At 44.5% G+C, this 21,663-nt stretch overlaps 1 protein-coding gene across 9 annotated transcripts in view; it reads left to right on the top strand.

Moving 5' to 3' along the window:
- RGS8 (regulator of G protein signaling 8) overlaps window positions 1-21,663 on the top strand; it is a 110,559-nt gene that overhangs the window by 79,182 nt on the left and 9,714 nt on the right. For 3 of the 9 annotated variants that reach the window (XM_011510089.4, NM_033345.4, XM_017002631.3), the window contains 4 exons: window positions 263-376; window positions 1,465-1,538; window positions 6,222-6,323; window positions 7,162-7,226. In XM_011510089.4, the coding sequence (XP_011508391.1) occupies window positions 371-376; window positions 1,465-1,538; window positions 6,222-6,323; window positions 7,162-7,226 (247 nt within the window). In that variant the 5' untranslated portion in view covers window positions 263-370. Of the gene's footprint in view, window positions 1-262; window positions 377-956; window positions 1,159-1,270; window positions 1,539-3,442; window positions 3,572-6,221; window positions 6,324-7,161; window positions 7,227-21,663 lie in introns of those variants that run through there. The other 6 variants (NM_001387847.1, NM_001102450.3, NM_001387848.1 and 3 more) reach the window with 5 other exon arrangements.

Below are 21,663 nucleotides of genomic sequence, written 5' to 3'. Positions count from 1 at the left end.
CGAGATTTCTCCTGCCTTCTGGGTTTCAGAAACGGTTTGCAGCAAAGGCTATGTGTCTTTGGAGCTAGTTCCTGAGTGGGAGTGTAGACTCAACCTTAGGGACCTAGAGCATAACGAGAAGACAAGCTTTCTCCCAGGGCAGCGGTTTGCAAACTTTAGCATGCATCACAGTCACCTGGAAGGCTGATTACTGTCCCCAGAGTTTCTGATTCTGTAGGTCTAGGGGTGGGGCCTGAACATTTGCATTTCTGATACTTCTCAGGTGATGCTGACACTGCTGGTTCAGGGACCACGCTTGGAGAACCACTACACTAGGGCAAGCAGGAAGAGAGTCCTCCTTCTGGAACTGAAGCAGGCAGTGTGAAGACCCATGTGGGTAAGGAGGTTTGAAAGAAGAAAGAAATGGAAAAGACAGAAAAATAGGGATCATGTGCAGATCGGGCAGAACAAAAGGAAAAGTCTCACTCCATAACAAATGCAAGTAGGGGGAAGTTGCTAGGTGATGGATGAGGGAGAGAGGTGAGTTTCTACTGTAGGAAAAACCAGGTGAGAGGCAGGAGCACAGAGTTGGAAATATGCATGTTTGGGAAGGCAGAGGAGGTGGAAATTTCTCATTAAGAAGTGGGGAGTGGTGTGGTTGGCACTGGTTAGGGTGGGAGTGGAGATGAGCTGGGGGAGAAATGCCTCTGTAGAGTAAGGGGCACAGCTGAGATGTGGCAGAGAGGGCTAATTTCAGGGCTGTGTGGTTTGGCTTGGTAGTGCAGCACAATAGAAATTGAGAGAAAGGGGGTGGAATTTAGATGTGTGACCTGCCCTGTAGCTTTCTTGCTCTCTGCATTTATCACATCACATCACACCCAGCAAGACAGCCCCCCTCCTCCTGGCTCATTAGGAGATTTGATTTGGAGTGGCTCCTGCTGTCAGCAGCTGTCTGGGGCAAGATCTTTACGCTCCCCACTCCCGGTGCAGCAGCCAACCTTCAGCCAGCAGCGGGGCTCATTAGAAGAGGGTCCCCTGGACACTTGATTTTTAGCTCACTGGTGACTGGAAAGAGTTAATACCTATTCTTTGCTGCCCCCCGCACAGCCTCTGGGTGCAGAGGGAGGCAGCTGTGGGCTGTGGGGACTTCTCCCTGAGCTGCAGCCAGAGGAGCTTCAGGTTAGTGAGGCTGAGCTCAGCTCAGGGGCACCTTCTGCATCCTGCCAATGAGGATGGGCGTGCAGACTGTGCCCGGGAGCTGAGCCGCCGCCCGCTGGGTGTAGGCTGCTTCAGTATTTACTGGATGTGACAAGCAGAGAGAAGAGCTTTCAGTGGGGCCGCTTGCTGCCTGGCTCAAGTGGTGGGAGGTGTGTTGTGCATGCCTGTGTGTGTATATGTGTGTGTGTGCCCCTATGTGTTCATGCACACATGCCCTTCACTCGCCGAGGATTTGACTGCTAAAAGAAAGATCTACTTTTTCCCCAGAACACCTTAACCCGAAGCCTCTCTGACCATCCAGTTGGCAAAGACCCTCAGGCCATGAGGACTGGCCAAAGACAGTGAGTATTGCCTTTGCTTTTCTCTTTCTTCTCCGGGGTGTCTGTGTGCACCGATTGCATTATCCATATTTAATTAACTTGCCTCTTCATGCATATTGATTGCTTTCTTCCCTCGGAGGCTCTAGTTTCTCTCCCCCTCTTTGTAAATCTTTGTTCTTTGCTTTTAACTTTCATTTTTTCTTTGAGTATCCTGTCTTCCCATTATGTCTCATCCTGTCTGCCCCAGACACACCTGTGACTTGATGCCCACCTATGAGGGCACATGCACTGTGGGGGCAATCAGATCTTTGAACTTCCTGGGCTTTGGGTAACTCCTAACTCTCAGAAGTCCAGGGCCAAATGGGATAAAAGCCCTGAGGTGCTGGGATGGGTAAGGCAGCTGGGTCAGAGTGTCCTGCTGATTCTTATTTATTGGCATCTGTGGTTGAGAGCATCAAATGGGTAGTGGAGGGTCTGAGCAGCAATTTGGGCAGCGCTGGATTTGAAGGAGAGAGACAGGCAACTGAACAGCATGGGCAAGCCAGTGTGGGCTGGCAGTGGAATGGGAAGAGAGACAAGGCGGGGACAGAAGGGTGGGTGATCCCCTGCCCCAAATGACCTTGCCTGCAATGTAGGTGGGTAGTCGTCTCTGGTTCCACTTGGCTCTAGGATAATAAAGGTCCCTGCATGAGTTTCCCCTTCCCCTGGGGCCATATCCCACAGCAAGAGGCCTAGGTGCCCCAAACATGACTTCTAGGGACCGGCACAGCTGCAAAAGCTTTGATTTCATGACTTCTGAGGAAGCAAGTGTAAGCCTGGTTAGGAGAAAGATTAAGGAAATGTCCCTGCAGCCAGGGAACACAATCCGTGACAATGGACCTTCATACACAGTCTAACTAATTTTTTTTTCTAGTTTTAACAAAGCAATCTTTTAATTTTATTAATTATAGTATTATTAAAGAAGCTATTTTTAAAAAGTACTTGTGAAATAGTCGCGGTAATATAAAAATAATTTAAATGGTGTAGCTCACATAGGAGTCTTATCTATCTAAATTAGGTTCCTTTTAAAATGGGTTCTATGTTTGATGTCAGAGTCCCCCAGGGGAGCCCTTTATGGATAGGCTGCTCTCCTCACGTGTTTCTTCCTATCAGAGGTCTTCTGTGGGAACAAAGGGTTTGAAGCACTGAGAATGGGACCCTCAGGAGAGGAAGACTGTAAGTCAATCAGCTTTCAACCTCAATGACCCCTGTCTTCCCACACTCATGTCCTTCCTGCTTCGCGTCAAGAATAGGCCAGGCCCCAGGCTGAGGAAGGTCATGTAGGCTCCATATGGGCAAGAAAGGGTAACTTGCATATTCGTTTCTTCAGCCTGCACCTGTGATCCCTGCAGAGGAGCAAGCCTGTGTGGTGATGGTGCCTGACAAGCCTCTCTTGGAGTTCCTCCAACCTCCCTCCCACTCCCACTTTCCCGAGTCTCCACGCACTCCCACCTGGGACAGGTTCACTTGGAGGGAGGCGAGAATCAGAGCAGCATCCAATCAGATTATTTTGGAGCAAGTGCCGACCCCCTCCTCCAATCCCGCTTGCTGGTCACTTGGGCCCCACTTTAGTAAGAGAAAGAGAGCAGTAATTTTTGGTTTGCTAGGCCCACGCCTCCCCTGAGGCACACGTTCCACTTTATATTTGATGGCCAGTGGTTGGGGAATCAGGAACTCCTAACCAATAATCAACAACATGAAGCCACCAACAATTTGTTCTTGTCCATCCTTGGTTTGTCGCCCCTGCTAAGGACAAGTGGACATTTGTGGGGCTGGGGGGATGTGTGTGGGGAGGTGTTCCGCTGGCGGAAACCCGTCTGAGAGGAAATGTAGTGCAGTCAGATGAGAGAGGGTGGCCCCTCTTACAGCAGATTCTTTGATTTTAGGTGAGAGGACGTGCAAGGGTAAATTCCTGAGCCCCGCAGTCTTATTTCCTGCCCTGACGTCCCTGCATACCAGCCCAAGGGTTAACCGTAAGCTGATGCCTGTATGGCGGCCTTACTGATGCCACGCAGGTAATGAATCAATGGCCTGTTTTCTTGCCCCTGACCCTTTCCTCTTTTCTCCACCTTGTCACACCCTCTGTTATTTGAGTCTGGCCCAAGCCTTCTGAGCCCATGCGTGGTCTACTTTCATCTGTCCCCATAGGCCTCCTGTGTGAACTGCACGGTTCTTGTCTGTATGCCTCTTGCAAAGTTGTGGCCTTGCAAGCAGGACCTGCCTTAGCTGAAGCCCTCCCATTGACTGGTGAGACAGCTTGGCAGTGACTTGTGGGGTGGGATGAGGGACTGTGCATGAGCTTGTATGGAACAATTTAGGGATCTCTGTGAGTTACTGGGATGGGGCTGTAGAAAGGAGAAAGATGAGGGAAAGCCTCGTTATTTTTAAAAAAGTATCCTTAACCTTTGACTCCTACTTCTACCCTCATTATTTCAGACCTAGCTAAGAAGATTATAATTGAGGTCTTAGCTAGAAAGATGAAAAATAAAAACCATTTTGTCCCAAAGAATATTTTGTTGAAGATTTTTGCAAACTATTTGGGAGAATCACAGTTGTCTTGGTAACAAGTAGCATCCTTTACACTGGTCCCTGCTAAACCTTGTTAAATGGCTTGCGTGGATTTGTGATTTTTTGAAAGTCCTCTTGATTGCTCTTTGAGGGCAGTGACCTGAATGTTTTATGATTGATGATCCTGAGGCACAAGGAATGAACCAACTCACTGAAAGTTGGGCTTTGGTCTGTGGGGCAGCCTGAGCAGGACCTTAACTTGAATTCATGGAATGTGATGACTCGAGGGCCCTCAATCAGCTGCTCGCAAGGCGTGCTGTCAGACACCCTGCGATTTGCAAGCGCGAGTAGACACATAAGATGCCCGCTGTCGCAGGAGAGAGAATAGCAGTAGCCAATGTTTGGAAATGCCATGAAATAGATGGCTTCACAATGCGGCCTGGCTGAGATTCAAGGTGGGAGCAGGGGACGTGCAGGCCCAATTTTTTGCAGGAGAGAGGATATTTCTGGGAACTTGGATGTTCCAGCCCTAGGAGGCTCTTCAGAGATGTGCTGTGGAATACAAATGCTGTCCATCCCTGCCAAATATAATACCATCCCAGCAGAAATTTCTTGGATAAGATTTCTGTGAACAAAGACAATTACCAGGGATGAAAATCCATTTGAAGTAAAAGAGATTGAATTGGACGACCTCTAAGGTCTCTTCCCACCCCTAGGAAAAAGAGGAAAGAAAGCTAGCCAGAAGGACTCCTTTCAACATGCAGAATGGCATCTTCTAGGACTATTTCTGTGGCAAATTGTTGCAAATGTGCAAGCGGCACTTCCTTTTTCTAAGTCACTCTTAAGTCCTGATTTGATTATACTAAACCTGTCCCACTTACCTTTGCCCTCAACACAAGGAGTTGTCATAGTTAAAGGTGAGGGGTCAGCAAACTTATTCTGTCAAGGGCTAGAGAATAAATATTTTTGGGTTTGTGGGCCATATGGTCTGTGCTGCAACTACCCAACTCTGCCCTTGTAGTTGAAAGCAGCTTTAGACAATTCGTAAACAAATGGTGTGGTTGTGTTCCAATAAAGTTTTATTTACACAGACAGGCACCTTTTCAGGGCTATAGTTTGTCAACCTCCGATTAAAGGTTAGCAGAGGCTAGCTGGGCGTGGTGGCTTGGGCCTGTAATCCCGGCTACTCAGGAGGCTGAGGCAGGAAGATCACTTGAGGCCAGGAGCTTGAGACCAGCCTGGGTAATATAGCAAGACCGTTTCTCTAAAAAAAAAAAAATTAAACATATTAAAGAAAGGTAAAGTGGTAAACGGAGACTAATGTTGGGAGTCAGAAAGAGACATTAGAGTAACTTCTCACTGGATCTGTTATAAGAGATAACTATTTAAGTGCCTGATGTCATTATATAGGTCCTTTGGAAAATAAAACATATGAGAAATGTAAACATACATGTTAAAAATTTAATTATGCTTATTGAGATAAGCCAAAATGTAAATAGGAATACATGAGCTTAGTTAGGCAAGCATAAGAACTGACAAAGGGGACATTGGTTCTTAATTGCTGATTGTACCAATTACTCTTCTCCCCCTACAGGCATCAATCCTATGGGTTGACTATAGCTAGATTTGTGGGATGAGTGGGGAGAACTTGAGTTGGAACTGGCCTGCCTTGAGGCCCCCTGCTTTGTGCTTAAGACTCTGATATGCACCCTGCACCCTGCAAACATCCCTCTGCTCCTGGTGTTGGTACCCCTTCTGGGTCTTTGCAATCAGGAGCTGCTGCTGCTGCTGTTACTTTGCCCTCCTTGTGGAAAAGCAAAATGTGGATTGTTATTTTGTTGTCACTGTATTTTCTTTCCCTACAGAGAATCCTAATTTAGAAATTCTTCCAAGCTAATGACCTTCATTGACTTACCGTCAACTTGCTGTGTCAGCTTTGAAAAGCATTAAGCCTCTAGGGGGTCGGTTAGGGTACCTATTCAGGTAGTTATTGATTCTCTAGGTGGTCTCTTCCTGTTCATGAAGTCTTCAGAGACCACCTGGGGAAGGGTGGGGGCAGTGCTGGCTCCCGTAGCAGCAGCTCCAGGGGCCCTGTATAGAGCTGACAGCTGTGATCATGAGAGTTTCCCCGTCCTTCTGCCCCTGTGCTTGTTGCAGGAACAAAGGGATGAGGACTCGACTGGGATGCCTGTCTCACAAGTCAGACTCGTGTAGTGATTTCACAGCTATTCTTCCAGACAAACCCAACCGCGCTCTCAAGTGAGTAGTACGGCCACGTGCCATTCCCTGGGTAATACAGCAAGTCATATAGCTCACTTCTTTAGTGAGATGCTGACCAGATGAGCCACTGGAAAAATCCTGTCTCTTGGCAGCTCCTTTTATATCCCTGGACGTGAGTGAAAGGAATGTTTATTTTCCTTTTCAAAACGTATAGCTTAGTGATCTCAGAATGGGAATCCTCTTTTTTTTTTTTTTCCTAAGTAAGCCATATCATCCATCTCTCATAAAACTGTGGGTGGCAAAGGATACTTCTTGGTTCTACTTAGTTGTCAATCTGAGCTCTCAATTTGGAAATAACTGTTCAAATTTACTCTAAAAATATGCTTAGATTCAAGTAACCTGAATTCAGCACCTCTTCTGTGCTGGTGCTGTATTAAATATCATAGATGTTACCTTGTGTGACCCTCACACAACTATGTAATGGGCATCATTATCCCCATTTCAGAAGTGCAGACATTTAGGTGACAGTAGGAATGGAGTCAGGAGCTGAGTCTAACTTTTCTGGCTCTAAGACCAGTTTCTTTCCATTGTTACCTCGATACCTTTAAATCATGTACTTACTTAGCTTTGTTCTTTAGACTAAAAGCCAACAGACAAAATTCACTGAATTTCAGTCTTGAGGTTTTTTTTCATCAGTTACTTAAGAATGTACAAATTTACAGTGACAGAATTGCAGGAATCCAGGTATAGTCTTCATTTGCTCCCTGCACCCTTCCCCACATTTTTCCAATTTGTTTTCTTGAGCAAATCTTAGCGGTTGTTGAGGGCAAGGAGGTTATTTCAGAAACATTCAAGACAGATGTTTCTTTTTTTCTAGGAGATTATCGACAGAAGAAGCTACGAGGTGGGCAGATTCCTTTGATGTGCTTCTCTCTCATAAGTGTAAGTAGAATTCAGGTCGTATCATGACATGGCAAATCATCTATTTAGTGAGAGATGTACCAAAGGCCTGTGATGATCCAGGCAGGTATGTACTAGGTGTTCCAGACCTCTGTGGGCCCCGCTCTCACAGAGCCTCCTGCCTAGAGGAGCATATAGAAAAGAAAATGAATGATTTAAATGCAGTGAGATGAGGGCCTCCTTTTCTGTTTTCTGGGTTCAAAGTATGATCCCAAGAAGCCTTCGTATTCTCAGCAGTTTTAGCAAGAGAGAGTTTAGCTTAGGGGTTTGGAATGTTGGGCTCACTTGGGAATGAGAGAAGCTAGGTTCCAGCCAGATCTTGTTTGTAGAATTGAATGGCCTCCCCGCAAATTATGGGAGAGTCTTGGGCTATGCATCAGTCAAATGAATATTTTGTGCATTTTATTATTCACTTGAGTTGACAGTTTTTGAGTTTTATTGTTGCTTTTTGTTTTGAGGGTTTGCTATCCCAGCTGCATTTTACCCCTCAATTTCTTACTGAGTATACATTTTACTGGAATACAACTTCTGCTATCCTTCCTTTTCCATTTTTCTCTTCCTCATCTGTAATGCCTTTTGTTTCCCACAAAGGCAGAAATAGTTGTGCATATTGTGGTGTGGAGAGGGCAATTTGATATCAGCCAAACTTTTCATCTCTTGCTTTTTCTCATTATGTACAAGTTCAAATTAATGGGCTTTGAAACTAGTGGCATTTAATACCTGGGCAAGGCAGAGCAGGGTTGAGGAAGAGGGAGGGGTTTTGTGAAGAGAAAGAAGGCTTCAAATAGACATTTCCTGCTCCTCTTAAATATGTCGCAGTGATATTAGAAGCCCTAACTGATCTGGGAACAGAGGGCTGCTTTTAGTTTGGAGTAGGGTTTCCACTTAATTGGAGAAAATGGTTTGGTACAATTAAATGAAAGGCACTGGGTGGGAGTCAGACCTGCGTTCTTGATTTTGACTCAGCGTTGTTACTAAGTAGTTGGGTGGTCTTGACAGAAACTCTCAGTCTTGGATGTCTTTAGAAGTGATTTTGCTTTCAATTTGATGAGCAGTTCCCTCCAGCTATGCTGCTGATCTGGATAAACTAATTAATAAATACGTTTGAATAGATTTTAGAATGAAATGCAAAATCTAAGAATAAGTACATATTGTAGCAAGCAGTTTTGTGAGACAAACAGTCACTTTAGTATTCTGTGGATTGCACTTAGGAAGGAAAATAAGACAGCATAGATATAGCATATGTAACATATGGCTACACCCCAAACAGCAAGCTTATGTGATGAATTTGCCAAGGTAATGACAAATGTATAATAATATTTAGGATTTGCAGTAATGCTATTTTTTTTAATGAGGCTATTCTGACTTTTTTTCTGGAGTCACATTAGGCTAAACAAGTGTCACTACCAATGTACGCCTTCTTTTCTGGCTGGATTTCATTCAAGGTCATCTTGAAGTTTGGTTTCTATTTTAGCCTCACAACTGACTCACTTAGTTCAAGTCCCTGAGGCTGTTTCCTCATTCTAAAATAGTGATGGAGATGCTTGCTACCTGTCACTGAATATGAGAAATTTAATAAGAGGACACCTTTCGTTGATTTCGGCTTCTCTACTTAAAGGTTCTCTACTTAAAGGTATTTTGTAAGGATATGGTGGGTTTTTTTTTTAAATGATACTTTTATTTATCAAATGCAAAATAAATGTGCCTTGAGAATAATATTACAAATTTTGCTGCCAATTATTAATATTAAGCCATTATGGTCGGAGTTTATGGTGGTGAAATTAGTGATAGGAAGCTTAGGATATATTTAGATTGCTGCAGTAGCAAGACCTAGAAATGTAAGAGGTTTAATTTTATTTGTCTGATTTGATGACTTTTAAATCTGAAGACACTTGTTTCTACTTCTGTCAGGGATGCTTTTGGTTTTTGGGAATGCAATGACACTTTTCTGAGATGGAGACTCTGATAAGGAGTTACAAGCTGACAGGTGCAGTGGCTCAGACGTATAATTCCAGCATTTTAGAGGCTGAGGCAGGAGGATCACTTGAGGCCAGGGGTTCAAGGCCAGCCTGGGCAACATGGCAAGACCCCATCTCTAAAAAAATAATAATTCTAACAAATTATCTGGATGTGGTGGCATGTGCCTGTAGTCCCAGCTACCTAGGAGGCTGAAGTGGCAGGATCACTTGAGCTTAGGAGTTCAGGGCCAGCTTGGGAAACATAGTGAGACCCTGTCTGTACTAAAATAAAAAATTAGTGGAGTGCGATGGTGAATGTCTGCAGTCCTAGCTACTCGGGAGGCTGAGGCAGGAGGATTTTGCTGAAGCCCAGGAGGTTGAGGCTGCAGTGATCTGTGATCACACCACTATATTCCAGCCTGGGTGACGGAGTGAGACCCTGTTTCTTAAAAAACAAAACAACAAGCTGACACCAGATTGCTTCTTTGTAAAACTACTGCAGAAATAGGCTTTTTGAACTTTGAAGTTTTGTGATCCTTCCTGGAGTCTGATGTTCTGTTTATATTTCTGTTTAGTATAGAAGTAAAAAGCCAGTGGAGTGAATGTCTTCGAAAAGAAAGGGTCTTTATTCAGGAGTCACTGGTAGAATTTCAAGCTTTTAGAATTTGAACACGTACTCCCCTGTGAAGGCTATGGAGCAGTCAGCCCAGGTTATCTTGAAGGATGTTGACAACTTTCTGAAAGTCTAATTAATTTGAGTTGGTATTGTGACTCAATTAGGGCTGATTAAGCTTTTCCAAAGGGATTGCACGTGTGCTCGTCTCTTAGGAGGGGCAGTGTTGATCAGAGGTTTGTGGAGCTTGCAATTAAGACAATAACATGTCCTAAGAAGCAAAGAGTGAAGAATCCCTGAATGACTGGGCTCCAAAAAAAATGTTCAGGAGTCTAGAACCCACTCCCTGGTAATTCTCTACATGTAGGCAGCTGTCCCCCTTAAGATTTCTATTTCAGAAAACACAGATGATTATTTCCCCCCCTCCCCATTCTCAATCTACAGGACATCTTTGCCATCCCTGTTCCGTTGGGTGTTTTGGGCACTCATTTATGTTTAAAAAGATGTACCAAGTGCTCATGGTGTGCAAAATCTATGGTAAGCAGCTGGAGGAGGGGAAGCACAAAGATGAACAAGGCACAGTCCATCTCTGGTGGAGAATGCAGCCTCTGAGCGAACAGGCATGCATACCAATAACACAGGAAACAATGCAGTGTGCTGACTACACGCTGGGTGGCCTCAAGATTCCAAATAGAATCCTGACATCAGTGCTCCTCTTCAATTCCGTCTTGTCAATATTAGAAGACCTAACTGATCTGGGGGCAGAGGCTGCTTTTGGTTTACAGCATGGTTTCCACTTAATTGGGGAACATGCTTTTGGACAATTAAGCGAAGAGCATTGTCTGGTAGTCAGATCTGTGTTCTCGATTTTGACCCAGCTCTATTACTGGATATCTGGATGATCGGGATAGGATCTCTCAATCTCTTAGAAATTCTGTTTCTTCATCTATACAATGAAGCATCTGGAGTAGGAGGAGGTGTCAGAAGCTGGATCCAGGATGCTCTCTGTAGCAAACAGAGAGGCTGGGCAATAACCAATCACCTTTGGCAGGTAGTTTGACTCAGCGCTGCCTGCAGGGTTATGTAAAATACTGCTTCAGAGCTGAAATGGCTCCAGCACCAGAAGAGGGACTATGGTGCCTGTGTTAAAAAGCTTCTCCTCTCCTTGGCTGAGCACCTCATAGGCTGAAATCTCAGGCAAAAGAAAGCAACTTTGCTATTTTTTAAACCTTAGAATTTAAAAAATCTGGAGGGCAAATGTTTGGAGCCATTTTATTTCCAATTATATTTGTTTACAAATGCCATACAAAGTGGAAGAAGCACCCATGGAGGTCCAGGAAGTAACCACTAGCTAAGCACTCTTAAAAACAAAAAAACAAACACTAACAAACGAACAAGGAAATTGAAATTGCTGATGGCTTCATTAAATAGGGAAGGATTTCTAATGTGCATTAATTTGTCATCTTTTTCCTTTTCACCAGTAACAATTAGGCTCCATGTCTGTGAGTTGTGCATGTAGTCTGGCCCCAAGAGTGTGTGTGTGTGTGTGTGTGTGTGTGTGTGTGTGTGTGAATGTGTGTACACTCAGGAGACTTTCTGCTCTGCAGCTCATACCCAAGAGAGCAAAGTTTCCTCATTTGTGGAAGATCTTTTCTGACAGGTCTCTGGGAAACAGGCATAAAATCATGTGTATTCTTCTTTATTTCTCACAAGATTCATGCAAACTTTTTTTATTTGTTTAGCTTTTAGTGGAACATTAAGTCCTGAACTCTGAGTTGGTGCTCCCTTCATCTCCTTCATTCTCTCTCTTTCTTTCCTTCCTCCCTTCCTCCCTCCCTTCCTTCCCTTATTTCTCCCTTCCTTCTTGCCTCCCTCTGTCCTTTGATACTTTTTGAACATAAAAAGTTAGATTTATTCCAGTTTTAAGGTGAAGGTGAAGGCAGGGTTCCCTCACCTTTCCTCTCACTTCTTATGTGTGACCACACAGCTGGGTGAATGAGCACCTCACCCCAGGCATTTATTTGGTGTTTAGCCTTGTTTTGCTGTTTGCACAGGGCATGGAGGGTCTCCCTGACCTATCCCACCAGGCCCAGGGAATGCTGGGTTAATGGATAGTACAGTTAAAAGCTCTTCTGCATTTGCAGAGCTGTTATCTATCTCTGAGAACAGGATACCCACAGAGAAACTTTTAGTTTTTAAAAATTAGCCCCTTTTGAGATAATGGTTGAGATATAAAAATATAATGACTGGAGCTGGTCACACAGCAACCAAGCAGAAGACCCCAAACAATCAAATAAACAAACATTAAAATTATCAATTCATGAAATTTCTTAAACTATTCATCTAAATGGCCTGTAGCTCTAGAACATACAGTTGAACAGTCAGGCTTCCATTCACTGCGCAGCCCTCCCCACATCCCTCTCCAAGCCAAAAGGTTCTAGAACAGCATTACTCCAAGTGGTGTCCAAGGGAGGCAGCACCAATATCTACTGGGAGCTTGTGAGAAATAAAAATCTGCGGGTCCTCTCAGACCTACTGAATCAGGATCCCTGGGGCTGGGGCCTGGGGATCTTTTTCTCACAAACCCTCCAGGAAGGTTTATGCACATCTCAGCTTGAGAAACCCTGTTCTCAAAGGCACATGAGTAAAACCAGGAGTCTGGAGCATCCTGGTGGGGCAGGTGGCCTGTGCTTTCCAAGAAACATACTAAAGACTGTATCTCGTATGGAAGCTTTCCAAAGTGCTCAGACAGCGCATCCCTAGCAGTACATTGTGAATCCCAGTTTCCACATATGTAGGGAGGAGGGTTCCACAGTAAATAAACAAATATGGCAGGTGTACTTTCTGGATATATTCAGGATAAGAGCTAGAAAAAGATGTGCAAAGTAGAAATGGGTGGAAAATAAATGTCTTTGCTTCCTTGCCATCATCTTCACATTGTTGTAGTTTGTACTTGGACCCAGAAATGTGGGTGCATTTGGTCTTTATTGAAGGAATGCCTGGAATATATTAGGCAACTATTAAAAGCCTGTTGAGAAAGGTATGAATGAAAACAACTGGACAGGCTTCTAACCCCTTCTGTCACTTACCAGCGATGTGACTGTATTCAGATTACTTAACCTCTGTGAACCTCACTTTCCTCATCTGTAGAAGGGGAATGATGAGGCTTACCTTGTACAGTTGTGAGAGTTCAGTGTGATCATGGTTCTGAAATGCTAATCATGATGACTTCTCCATAGAGGAACTCAATAAAAAATAACTATTCTAATTATTTTTGCTCTAACATAATATTAAATTCTTTGAGAAAACATGCATTTCATGCCTGTTATATGCCAGAGATGGTGTCAGCTTCTTGATCCCACAGGCAGCTTGAGTTTGTGGATTGGAGGTAGTATTAGAATTGCCAATAGGGTTTCTTTGAATCCCATAATACTTGTCCCCTTTGCCTCATGAGCTTTTGGCAGGCCCCCTTCAAACCTCCCCATGCATGTGAGGGAATTCCATTGAGGATGTAGTTTTTAAAAGCCCAGAAGGTAAATTTGATATATTCCCTTTTTTTTTTGTGAGTCCCTGCAGTATTTCTACATCAAACTAACTAGACCAATATTTCTGGATACTTGATTTTCAAAATCTTTTAGGCTATGGACTGGTGTTCATGAGGGTTTTCTTTCCAGGGGGCGGGGTACGGAGTCTCACTCTGTTGCCCAAGCTGGAGTGCAGTGGCACAATCTTGGCTCACTGCAACCTTTGCCTCCCGGGTTCAAGCGATTCTCCTGCCTCAGCCTCCTAAGTAGCTGGGATTAGAAGCGCCTGCCACCATGCCCAGCTAATTTTTGCATTTTTAGTAGAGACAAGGTTTCACCATGTTGGTCAGGCCAGTCTCAAACTCCTGACCTCGTGATCTGCCCGCTTCAGTCTCCCAAAATGCTGAGACTATAGGCGTGAGCCACCGCGCCCGGCTACATGTTTTATAATACTTCTCCTGTATTAAAGGATTCCTTCGTGAATGCTAAACCTTCACCCTGTTAGGGGGACACTTCTTTTGTCTACCCCTTAATGGAAATTTCTTGCTGATTTCTTATAATAGTTGCAGATACAGGCTCCACCTTGATTTTCTGGTTATCTAACTCAGCTTCTCCTTGATAAAATAGGAAAGAACATTGGAATAGGAGTTGTAAACCCAGGCTCTCCTTACTCTTCTGCTATCACATCCTAAGAATAAGAAGCCATGCAACCTCAGAGCTCACCATTTTTGTGTCCAGTGTAGGGTTTGATCATAGGCTCTCTCATGTCCTTTCTGGTGCAAAGACTTTAACAATCTTCAAGTCCTAATACAACTATAATAAATCATCTTGCTACATATATACTAATGAAGTAGAGATCATTGAAGAAAATTACGTTAATCACACTACTGAAGTATAATTAGCATATCAAATGGTTGCCAATAAAATGTCACAACTGGAAATAGTTTGTTCTCTACGTAATCTCTCTACATAAATATTACTTAGTCCCAGTTATTTTTAAAATTTTTTAGAGACAGGGTCTTGCTCTGTTGCCGGGGCTGGAGTGCAGTAGCATGATCATAGCTCACTGCAGCCCTGAACTCCTGGGCTCAAGAGATCCTCCTGCCTTGGCCTCCTGAATATTTGGAATTACAGGTGCAAACCACTGTGGCCACCTCCAGTTATTTGTTTAAAAACAATTTATTTCACAGATTTCACAAAAGAAGAGCTGTGATCCTGATGCTATTCTCATCATGAATTTCAAAGCAGTGATTTGTTTCTGGATCAAAGAAGTTTTGGCATCACTATTAGTATATGTATCCTGGATTTTAGAAATGTAATTTCCATTCTTTTCCTCTATCTGGTCTTGGAACCCATTCACCAGCTTATTTTCTCCAGTTGTTCGGGGATACAAGAGGACTCTGGTTTTTAGGACAGCATTTTCATAAATAGAGAACTTAAAATAAATTGTTTTTGTTGTTGTGCTCTTGTATTTTTCCAAGCCTGGGAACTGAGCTAGGCTCAAGCCCACCCTGATGCCAGCTACATCAGTGCTCCTGGGCCTTGAACTGTTACCTAAGCTCCACTCCCTGCTGTACCAGCTGCACTGCTCATTCATAGTGACCCAGTTTCCTTTCTTATGTAAGCATCCTCCATCAAATAACTAGAGGGAGAAAGCCAGCCACAGGCAGCATGCACAGCTGAGGTGTGTTCTTGGAGATTCTGTGGATGCTCAGGTAGATGCCAATATTCTGCTCACTGTTCCAAGAATTCTGGACACAAGCCTTTCCCTTTCTGTCACTAGATGTGTATCAATCTCAAAAAATTATAATTTTCTTAGCACCCTTGACTTCTTGAAGGGTCGTACAAAGAAAACCAAAGTGAAATAAAAATGAAATGACAAAACAGCAGGTCCTTCTGTCATTTCTCTTCCCATTTTCCCAAACTGTTCACCACCTCCTTGCCTTTCAGTTACTCAGGATTGTTTTGTATTGGGTATGTTATGTTCTGTATGATGACTCCTTAAGCCACTGAAGTACAAGGAATAATAGTCACTAACCTGGATTGAACAATCACTGTCTATGTGTCAGGCCTGCATGTTGTTTACATGTATGAACTTACCACATCCCAGAACCCTATGGAGCAGATGCTATTAGGACCTGCATCTTACAAGTGAGGGAACTGAGGCACAGAGATGTTAAGTCTCTTGCCCAAGCTCACACTTAGCTGGTGTGGGTTAGAGCCATGACAGAATCCCAGGTGGAACAGCTTCAGGGGTCAGAGAGTAGTCACTCTTTCCAACTGCCTGAGATCTGTTGGGGGAAACTGGGGCGGGGGGACTTCAGTTGCCTGGGCTTGGGGAGGGAGCAGGGTCTGGGGTGCATGGGGCCCCGGCAGAGGAAACACAGCTAATGCAAAGCATGTCACCCTGAGAGATGCTGGGAGACACGAATGAGCCTTTCAGAAATAAACCAGCATCCTGTATTTGGAACCAACTACAGTTCATGGACAAGCAGGAGGGTCCTGGTGGAGGGAAAGGGGAAAGATAGAGGAAGAGGACAAAAAGGAAAGAGAACAGGAGAACAGGGAGAGGGGCAGGGAAAGATGCTGAGGAGTCAGGGAAAGGAGCAGATGAAAAGCTCGCTGGGAGGAGGTGGGAGGTGGATGGAAGGGGAGAAACAGTGTGGAGCTGGCTCTATTCCACGCAGTAGGCTAGGATTTTACGCAGTTGTGTTTGGATTTGTTTGCTTGGTCACATAAGCAGGAAAGGTGGGCCAGGGGGGTGGGTGGGGGAACAAGTGGTCTGTCCACAGAAGCCCGCTGCTGCCATCTGCTCCAGGCAAGAGGAGGGGCTCCTGCAGCAGTGCCCTCTACCACCTTCTCCCTTCCATTATTCAGACTAAAGTATCTCTTTGTTCAGTGCAGGCTCTGGGAATATAAAAAGAGTTGGGGGAGATTGGGGCTGAGAGGGATAGGCATACAAAGTGGGTGAGCAGAGGAGGAGGGGTGAGGGCAGGTGCAGTCTGCACAAGCCTTTGTGATCTGTGTCTGTTGGGGTGTCTTTGCCACAATCTGTTCTCTGTTGCATCTCAGGTCCAGACCCTCCCAGGAAGGGCCCATGAGGGAGGGCCATTCTCCCCTCCTTTCCCATCTCTCAAGCACTTCCCTTGAAATTCCAGGCAACTTTCAAGTTTCTTTTGGTTTTCCTCTCACTCTTTCTGAGCCTGCCCTGGAAATGCAGGCCACCACATTTTGGGCTGAGGCTGCCTGAGAGAACATGGCATCTTTACAAGGCCACTCAGCTGTTCTTCGTTACAGCATCCCCTGGCCATGGTTGGGAAAGATGCCTTTCTGCTCACACTTCAGCTCTTTTGACAAGAAAAAGCCACCCCACCAGGCCATCAGTTTTGTGGGAGAGAAGAGACTTTAGGCAGGTTCCAAGTTATTGGTGGCACCTAACGGCCTCAGTTCTTACCACAGAGAAGGCGACAGCAGGTGTCCTTTTGGTGGAGAATCTCCAGGTCTGTGAGCTAAATGGTACACTTGCTGGGCTGTGGTATGTGTGTGGTGTGTTTGCCTGATTTGGGCTTACAGTCCGTCTCTCCTTTGGAGGCCTGCCAGCTGTCACCAGAGGAGAGAGGAGGGTGGCTCCGAAGTCACGCAGATGTGTGTGCAAAGTCACTTCTCACCTTTTACTGGCCAAGCGACTACAAAGTAACTCTCCATGTCTCACTTTCCTTATTTATAAAACACACTTTGCTAAGAGCTAACACTTATTGACTGCTTATAATGAACTATTAGGCACTTTTCCGTGGCTTGCCTCATTTAATCCTTATAACAGCCCAATTCAGTAAGTCCTGACATTATTCATTATTCCCATTTTAGAGATGAGAACGCTTGGGCTTGGAGATGTTAAGGCACTTTTCCAAGGTCATGCCAGGCTGTGTGACGCCAGAGCCTCTGTCTGCTTAGGAGCGTTGATGTAAGGATTGAGTTAATGTATATAAACTGGGCAGCACAGAACTCGGTGATGACACTGACATTGACATTGATGAGGAGAAGGATGGAATTGTGGAGCTGTGAAAATCAATCAGCTAAGAGCTGTGTCTGATACAGGCTAATTTAAGTTGCCATGAGGACACCGAACAGAGTGCTAACTCTACCTGGGAAAGCTCATCATATCCAACCCCCTTAGTTTACAGATGAGGATGCTGGGGCCTAGTGAAGTTGAGTGTGTTGTCCAAAGTCACACAGTTAATGATAGGGCTGATTTTGGTCAGAACTGGTGCTCCCAGCTGAGACTCGTGGAGCTTCTGCCTCAGCAGGCTGCCAGGTAATGAGAGCTGGCTATGAGTTCACCACACATCTCCAACTCCAAATCTCCATCCCTGCCGAGTCGGCCTTAACTGCTTATGGTGTAACTTAGTTGAATTCTCCTGCCTATGCGCACCCTGTTTCTATGTTGACATATGCTCAGATACCCCTCTGCCTTCCTCAGTGACTTTTCTTATTTTCTCTCCACCCCACCTGGAAATGTCACCATCTGTGGTGTCACTTGTGGCCTCCTTGTCTTGCCCTACAGTGGGAGTCCTCTCCTTCCACTTCAGTGGTCACTGGCACAGGCATCCCTCAGGTTACTGTCACACAGAGCTAGAGGCTAGTCCTTCTACATGCGTGAGAATGCTGGCTTTGCAGTTTAGCATCCTTGCCACTTACAGACTGTGACCTTGTGGAAGTTATTTGGCTTCTCTAAGCTTTGTTTTTTTCTCCTAAAAAGTGGTGAAAATATCAGGACCTAAGCTATAGATGTGCCATGAGAAGCCAGTACCATAAGATTCATAAACCACTAGGTGCGGTGCTGGGCCCAAAGTAAGTGTGCTATCAATGCTTGCTGATGTTACTTTAAAATTCTTTCTCTGGCTTCAACTTTTTTTTTTTAACTTCCTGCTTGTCTTTCTCCTCTTCCTCTATGTCCCAATTGCCACTTGCTAAATCCTTGCTATTCTCCAGGTTCAAGGATCATCTGCCAGCCTGGAACTGATGGGTTCTCTCTTTGAATAATAGATGCACCATCAAATTAAAAGTTCTTGCTCCCTTTTTGGTGCATTGTAACTCCTCCAGGAATCTAAGTTTAAGCCTTTACAATTGTATGACGGTTTTTTTTTTATCACATTCTTATTTACTTTTCCAAGGTCGCTGTTCCAAACCCTTCCCACTCTTAGAGTTCCCCACTATAGCCCACTCTGCATTTGTAATTACTCAATTGATTATTTTAAATTATCACTTAATGTCGGTTACACTAGACTAGCCTCTAAATTCTATGAGGTGGTGACTTTATCTCATGTGTTTGTGCCGTAGCCCCAAAACCTAGCACGTGGGTGCAGCCCACATTCACAGTGACCTTATCCCAAATTAATAACAAAGATTAAGGCTGTTTGACTTGACATATCACAAATATGTCCCTTTTCTTGCTGTTTTTCTCTATCTTCCTCTACCTCTTTCCTTTTTTCTTTGCCTTTGTCCTTAAGGAAAAGAAGTTCTTTCACTTTTTCTAGGTCTCTCTACTCTAAAATTTGCCTTCACCAAATACTATTCTTTTGCTTCTTTTAATCTCCCATTTTCAATACCCTTTCCCTTCTGTCTGCACACACATCTGGAGAGACCTTGCTTTGGAGTCATATGGACCTGGCTAGGAATCTTGGCCCTGCTCTTGCTGGTTGTGTAATTGGGCCATGTATTCCACTTCTCTAAGCTTTAGTTTCTTCCTGTGGAAAGTGGAGTGATATTATCTATGGATCAGCTTTGTGAAAATAAATTGAGCTAATGTTTTGTAAAGTCCTGAGCAAAAAGCACGGTGTATAGTAAATAAGTAAAATTCCTTGCCCCGCATCCTAAATAAATAAGTAAAAACAACACCCTACCTTTCCTAGGCGCTACCATCTTCTCCAGCTAACATGAGACAGACTTTCAAGTTCCTGCCTGAAATGAGAAACTTTCCTGCATTCATACATAGCTCCTCTTTTTGCTCCTCATCCTATTTCTTCTACCTTCCTGGGTGCAACATTTTGTCAGTTAGATTCTTTTCTTGAACTTCAGCTCCTGCTGCTCAACTGGTCTTTTCTGATCAGATCAACATTTACACATACCCAAGTCTATCTCTTTTATTTTTATTTTTTTATTTTTGAGACAGAGTCTGGCTCTGTTGCCCGGGCTGGAATGCAGTGGTGCGATCTTGGCTTACTGCAACCTCCACCTCCCAGATTCAAGCAATTCTCCTGCCTCAGCCTCCTGAGTAACTGGGATTACAGGCGCATGCCACTGCACCTGGCTAATTTTTGTATTTTTAGTAGAGATGGGGTTTCACCATGTTGGTCAGGCTGGTCTCGAACTCCTGACCTCATAATCTGCTCTCCTCGGCCTCCCAAAGTGCTGGGATTACAGGTGTGAGCAACTGCGCCTGGCCCTACCCAAGTCTATCTTAAAAAAAAAAAAAAATCTCTTTCCTCGCTTCATGTTTCCTTCCAGCTATGCTGTCTTATTTCTCTACTTTTTTCTCTACCAAATTTGTTGCAGGCATCATCTGAATGACTGTTTCCACTTCATTCAGTCTCATTCACCACCGTACGTACCATGGGACACCTAGAACCCCATCACACCATGAAAACTCTTCCTGCCAACGCTTGCTGAATCTACTGACTGCTTCTCAGACTGTATCTAGCTTGACCTCTGGGCAGCACTAGACACAGTGACCACTTCCTTCTTGAAATAATCTCTTCCTGGTCTTTTGTAGTGCTGCAAAATTCTTCTGTCTTTCTGGCTCTTTCACAGGCCTCTTGGTGTATGCTATCCTATAAGCAGGTCTAGTCATTTTCAGCTGTATTACTATTAAATGCTTGTCTTAATGAACTACTTCCAATTACTCAAGTAAACTTTCTTAATTCTAGGCCTTCATTCCTGTGGTTCCCTCTTGCTGAAATTCTCTTCTCCTTCCTCTCCTTCCTTCCCTTGCTTAGCTGCCCTCTCCTCTACCTCCCATGTCAGCTAAGAAGCCTCTTCCTCCCACAGCTCTTCCCTTCCCTCCTCAGGGCCGGCAAAGGCACCCCTCCTGGGTCCTTCATGACCCCTCTGCTTTCTCTATCATGTAACTTATCACACTACATCATAATCATCATCATTATGTTTTCTTGGCTCAAACTTCCCCTTGACGGCATGTTCTGTGAAGTCACGATTATATCTGCTTTTAGCACATAGCATAGCCTGAGTCACATAACAAGTGAATGAATGAATGAAGATGACATTATTGCTATGTTGGATTGAAGGTGAGTATACCTTATATGAAGTTTTCAATGCTACATATTGTTAGCTATGTGAAATCGGGCAAGTCACTTTTCTTAGCATTGGTTTCCTCATCTGTAAGATGAGAAGTAAAGCAAGGCTCCTGGGAGCACTTTGCAGAAGTTATCTCTACTCATCCGCACAAAGACCCAACAGAGCTGAAACCTGGATTTAAGGAGGTGATGCCTGTACCTCATCTAGCACAGGGCCAGACAGTTTCCTTAGCAAGGCTATCTTTACAAGTACCATGAAGGAAGGCAGAAAGATAATATTCTTTCCTTGTTCATAACTGCATTCACCTTGCTCATAAGCACCTGTTTCTGTTTGGTTAAAAATTAAAATCTGACACAAACAACCTTAAACTCTCCCATTAGAAGAATATAGTCTCTTCTGGTTTAAAACCAACAACAGGCTCTTCTGAGTTGCTTTTCCAAGTCACTTTCCAGTTATTCTTTTAGACAAATTCACAGTCTTTTAGGGCCCCCTCATTCTCCTCCTCATTCACTGAATACAGTGGAAAATGTGGTAAGATGGAGGCAGAGAGGGAACCTCTGGCCTACGGACCCTCAGGTCCTCCCTGTGTCCATTGATAGTGAAATCGTGGACTGGTCACTGCTCAGAGTCCCCCCCTTGCTAAACCAGCCCTTCACTTAGTTCTCAAGGGCACTGGGTCTCCTTCAAGGAGAAAACCTCCTCCAAGAGCACTGAGGCTTCCACAGCTCCAGCTGTTTTTCCCTCCAACCTCTGCCTGTAGCCTCTGCCTCAGGGGTCCCTCCTACAAGCAGTGGGGATCTCCTGGCAGGCAGGCTGGCTGTCTAATCCGAGTTCCCTCTAGAGTCTGTGGAGACTTCTGGATCTTCTCCATGGAGAGGACAGAGTGAGGGAGGGGTGACAGAGTTTCCTTGAGAGATTTCATGGGCAAGGATTTTATGATTTTGTTCTCTGACTTACTATGGTTCAACTTATGATTTTTCGACTTTAGGGTGGTGTGAAAGTGATATATATATTCA

This window comes from Homo sapiens, chromosome 1 (genome assembly GCF_000001405.40).
Source record: "Homo sapiens chromosome 1, GRCh38.p14 Primary Assembly".
Classification (NCBI taxonomy): Eukaryota; Metazoa; Chordata; class Mammalia; order Primates; family Hominidae; genus Homo; species Homo sapiens.
Note: the sequence above shows the minus strand (reverse complement) of the source record. Positions and strands in the feature narration are given on the sequence as shown.